Source organism: Homo sapiens, chromosome 7 (genome assembly GCF_000001405.40).
Source record: "Homo sapiens chromosome 7, GRCh38.p14 Primary Assembly".
Lineage (NCBI taxonomy): Eukaryota > Metazoa > Chordata > Mammalia > Primates > Hominidae > Homo > Homo sapiens.
This window is the reverse complement of record NC_000007.14, coordinates 76,882,568-76,887,237: the sequence shown is the minus strand read 5'-3', so window position 1 is coordinate 76,887,237 and position 4,670 is coordinate 76,882,568. Positions and strand designations below refer to the sequence as shown.

The 4,670-nt window shown below is 37.0% G+C and overlaps 1 annotated feature.

Annotated features, from left to right (window-relative positions):
• Positions 2,576 to 3,118: an enhancer, noted in NCBI's record as "OCT4-NANOG hESC enhancer chr7:76513437-76513979 (GRCh37/hg19 assembly coordinates)". NCBI's record gives its function as "activates a minimal SCP1, AML or CMV promoter by ChIP-STARR-seq in naive H9 embryonic stem cells {active_cell/tissue: H9 hESC(naive)}" and the evidence as "EXISTENCE:reporter gene assay evidence [ECO:0000049][PMID:30033119]".

Here is a 4,670-nt window from a genome sequence, read left to right as displayed (position 1 = left end):
CATTACAAACAGCAGGTACACCTCTGGGTGAAATGTACCCCAATGTGTCTGATCACACTGAATGCATCTGATATATCTTATCCTGAGAAAGCCTGGCGGTTCCTGGAAGAACTCTGCAAAATTCTGCAGACATGGATAAGCAGCAAGACATAAGTGACCCAGTGACAAAGTATCTACACACATTCATCAATAAGTCAACGTAGGTAATAGATGACAGCATTTTGACCACATAGTTATCTAGCTTATTTTAATAAAGAAATTTTAGAATGCATTTGAATTTTTCCTATGTATGCTAATTCAATTAATTTTACATATTTTGGGGATTATTAATCATATTATTAAGTAATATGAAGATTAAGGACAATGTATACTGTATTGTATGGTGCTAGGCTCATAGGTACTTAATGGATAGCAACTACTAATTACAATTTTAATACTATAAGTTTGGTGAAATAATAGGTCATTAATAAATAACAACTGCTTATTGTGGATAGTGCTGTTTAGTTGTTTACTAAAGATTCCTGTGGGAAGTTTCTTATGGGAGATGGTGTACACTGACTAGGCCTTTGAGCAGCAGACATTTGTTTGTGTAGAAGACTTCTATCTCATTGACAGTGGTAACGTTGATCTCAGAATTGTCCTGGTACAAGTTTAGGCCACAAGGAGCCCCTAAGTTCGTATCATTGCAGGCCAGGTCAACCTCCTTGCTCTTGCCAGATTGCTAGGATAATTTCCAAACGCTCATATGGCTGCAAAGGTATTTTCTATTATTTATTTGGAATATAGGAGAAATGCCTGGTGCCACCATCAGTGGTAGAAAGAAAAACAATAGCAGAATATGTCTTCATGTTCTTTGCTGGCAATATACTAGGTCAGTAAATGAATGATATTTAATTGTGCATTCTTACAATGCCAGATATTTTGGCACGGCAAGAAAATACAATAGTTATGGAAGTAAATAGCTACTAGGTGTGTTACTTTTTAAAAAGATTTTTTTTTAATTTATTTTATTTTTATTTATTTGTTTTTTAAATTTTACTTTAAGTTCTGGGATACATATGCAGAACGTGCAGGTTTGTTACATAGGTATACTTGTGCCATAGTGGTTTGCTTCACCTATGAACATGTCATCTAGGTTTTAAGCCCCACATGCATTAGATATTTGTCCTAATGCTTTCCCTCCCCTTGCCCCCACACCCTGCAACAGTCCCCACTGTGTGATGTTCCCTTCCCTGTGTCCATGTGTTCTCATTGTTCAACTCCCACTTATGAGTGAGAACATGCAGTGTTTGGTTTTCTGGTCCTGTGTGAGTTTGCTGAGATTGATGGCTGGTGGAAAAGCAGATATTATATTAAATATCCCTTCAAATTCTTATATAGCTTGACTTTAAAATATCTCAGCTTAGCATCCTTTTCTGTAAATAAATTCAATGCTTCATTAAAACACACCAGTAATATAAATGATAATGAAGGCCTTACACTACTATTTACCTTACATTTGTTTTGTGGCACTTTACATATAATTCTGCATTTGGCTACATACAACTATGTATCTATGTAGAACACAGCTCCTGTAAGCTGTCCATTCAACTATTCCAAATATGCAACTTCTCATAGCTACCTCAGGGTCACAGAAGGCTGCCTTTCTTTTAGCATCACATTCATTTTCCAGACAGGGAACAGTAAAGGGAAATACAATGCGTGAGTTTAAGATCTATCTTCTATTCACATCTCATTAGTATCTCTGTGCTATGTGTGCCATACTTGCCAACTCACTAGCTGCAAGCAGTGGTGAGGTTGTGGGTATATGTGTAGGAATGCATGCATGCATGTAGTTTTAAGGAGAACACATTATGGTCACGAACAAAGTCTGTGTTCTTTTAAAAGGAAAGGGAGACAGGATTTTGAGCAGGAAAAAAGTGAGGACTGCCGTACATAGTAGTCTTCATGAAAGTCCTGTAAGATGGATGTTACTATTTCTGTGAAGCATGCTATAGGCAAAGTTAAATAGGCTTTTAAATAAGTTGTGAAAATTATGTTTGCACCCAAGAAGTCACATTTGGATGGGAATTATTACAAAGAATTTTTCATCAATATGATTCAAAGAAATATAGAATAATCACAAGGAACTTTCACAAGCTTAGAATTGTTTGCGCTTAGCAATATTCTCCAGTGTATGAGTATCATTATACTTCCATCCTACTAGGCTTCTTCAGTTCCTCTCACCCACTGGGGGCTTTGTTCTTGTTTTCTATGTTTCAAAAACTGTTTGATCTGGTGTTGAGGCTGTCCAGATTCTTTTTTCCTTCAGGTTTCAGTTCAAATGCCATCTGCCCTGGACGGTGTTCCAGCTCCCCATCTGGGTATTACCAATCCCCAAGTCATTCTCTATCACATTATCCTGAGGTTTATTGCCTACAGAGCCTATTACTATCTACAGTTATCTTGTTTATTTACTTATCTTCTGTATTTGTCCCTACCAGGACTTAAAGTCACTGGGAGGCATGGATTTTTATCTTTCTTCCCATTCACTGAACTATGACTGCTAACACCACCAATGCCTGATACATTGTAGCCTCTGAATACATGCTTGTTTAGATTCTGAATAAGAATACTCTGAGGGCATGGTAGCATTAAGTATTAAGAGACAGGATGCCATGCAGGTTTCTACTAGGCTTTGGTCAGTATCTATTCTGCTGTAGGAAGTATATGCAGTGGTAAGTGGCTGGATTTTGGCTGCAGAAAGGTGGTCCTACCAAGCACAATACAGGCAAGGAGTGATTGTGAACAATTAACGGACCAAAAAGTCAAGCCATCAGGGCCTTTTGGCATAAGAATGGTCTGGTTATTCATGGTGTTTACATGGAATGGTGGGAAGAGAAAGCACAGAATGCTCTGTGTCTCTTTGAAGTTTCAGAGCACTTACTGCGTAGATATCCGGCATGTCTGCAAAAAAATGCACAGCTGAGCAGAAGGCACCAGTTCTTAAGACATGTGGGTGACATGAAGTATAGTTCTGAGAAAGCCTAATTCAACCCAGAAGAAAGCTCAGGAATGAACCCTTCAGAAATATTTAATTCCATGGTTATGAGCATTTACTTGAGTTGAATAATAACTAAAATGTTTTCCTCTGCATAAAAAGAAAAGGACCTTTATGTTTTTAAGCAACATTTTCTTGCCAAGCTATGAATTATGACCCAGCATGTTGTATTTTGCCTACAGATGTTACAAGGAACAGTAGAAATTAGCGGAGCTTCTGAAATCGTTTAAAAGGTTAAATTTTTGACTTAAAAATCAAGCTGGTAAATTGTATTTTTGTCACTGATAAACATTTTATTTTCCTCAAATTTTGTACCAAAGTACTATTGAAAACTGTCTCTTTGCTCTCAATAGGGGAGATTATTTCGGTGATATTATATGATATTATATTGTCTGTAGCAGGATGTTTTAGGAGAAAAAATATTACCCCTATATTCTGTATGGAGATGTCTCTCTGGCTTGCGTTGACAGTAATCTCAAGGTAATCCTTTGAAATAAAAACCTATAAAAAATGTTGTGACAGCACAAAGAGATAACATGTGTGGCAGAGGAAATGAAACTAAAGTGTTTATTTTTCTGATAAAATAGGAATGCCTCTTCTTTCCCAGTTGTAGCATAGTGACTCAGTTCAGTGAACTATATCATCCTCTCTGGAGCTTAATTAGAAACCTTGTAAACTGAGTGCAAGAGGCCAGAATATATGTTGGATGAACACAGAAAAGGCTTTTGCTGGAAACAGGAACTCCTATGAACCACCTTATAACGGGATTTAATGACTTTGTAATTGGATTGCTCCATTTGGGTTCAGAAAAGGGGAGCTTCTGCTTGTTCAGAAGGATGATGAGAACTATGGACATTGCATGTTTATAACTGAAGCACTCTTTCTTTGCTGCCCAAATTTCAGAGGCATAAAACACATTGATCCAGATTCTCCCAGTAGCTGCCTTGTGGACTGTAAACTAAGCATCACAGTGATTCCCTAAATGGTATCCTGATGAATTGCCAGCTTCTGCCAGGGTGCAGAGAGACCCTGGTTCAATAAAACAAGAGAGATAATAGGCGATCAGGAAGGAATCAAAACTGTTTCCCTGAGTAATGGCATCCAGCAACCCCTCTGCTGAGGGAGGCAATGAAAGGTGGGGGAACCCCTTGAAAGGGGTCAGTAGATTTCATATTCTTGAAAAGATAGAGTCCATTTTAAATGTCTGCTGCATTCAGATGACAAACTATGGGTCCTTTCTAAATATCTTTTTCTTTTTCCTTTTCTTTTGATTCATTAAAAAAAAACTTATGTTTTTAGGGAGTTTACTTTCTTCAGTCATTAAGCTTGGACGTTAAATATACATTGTTGATCAAAAAAGCTGTGTTCTTTGCCCTGGAGTTTATAGTTCATTGAACTTAATGGTATTGAGAGTCTGGAACGATTGTTCCATAATTTTAGAGGTTCTCAGGACCAGTGATAGAAAATTATTCCCTAAAACCAAGGTGCATTTTGATATTTTTGTGATTAAAAAAACATAAAAAAGATTTTATAACTCTGGCATTTTCATCAGATACATATACTTAGATGCTAACATTCATGTTCAGTTATATGATATGCATAAGAGTATATAAATGTTTTAAAAGTGGCA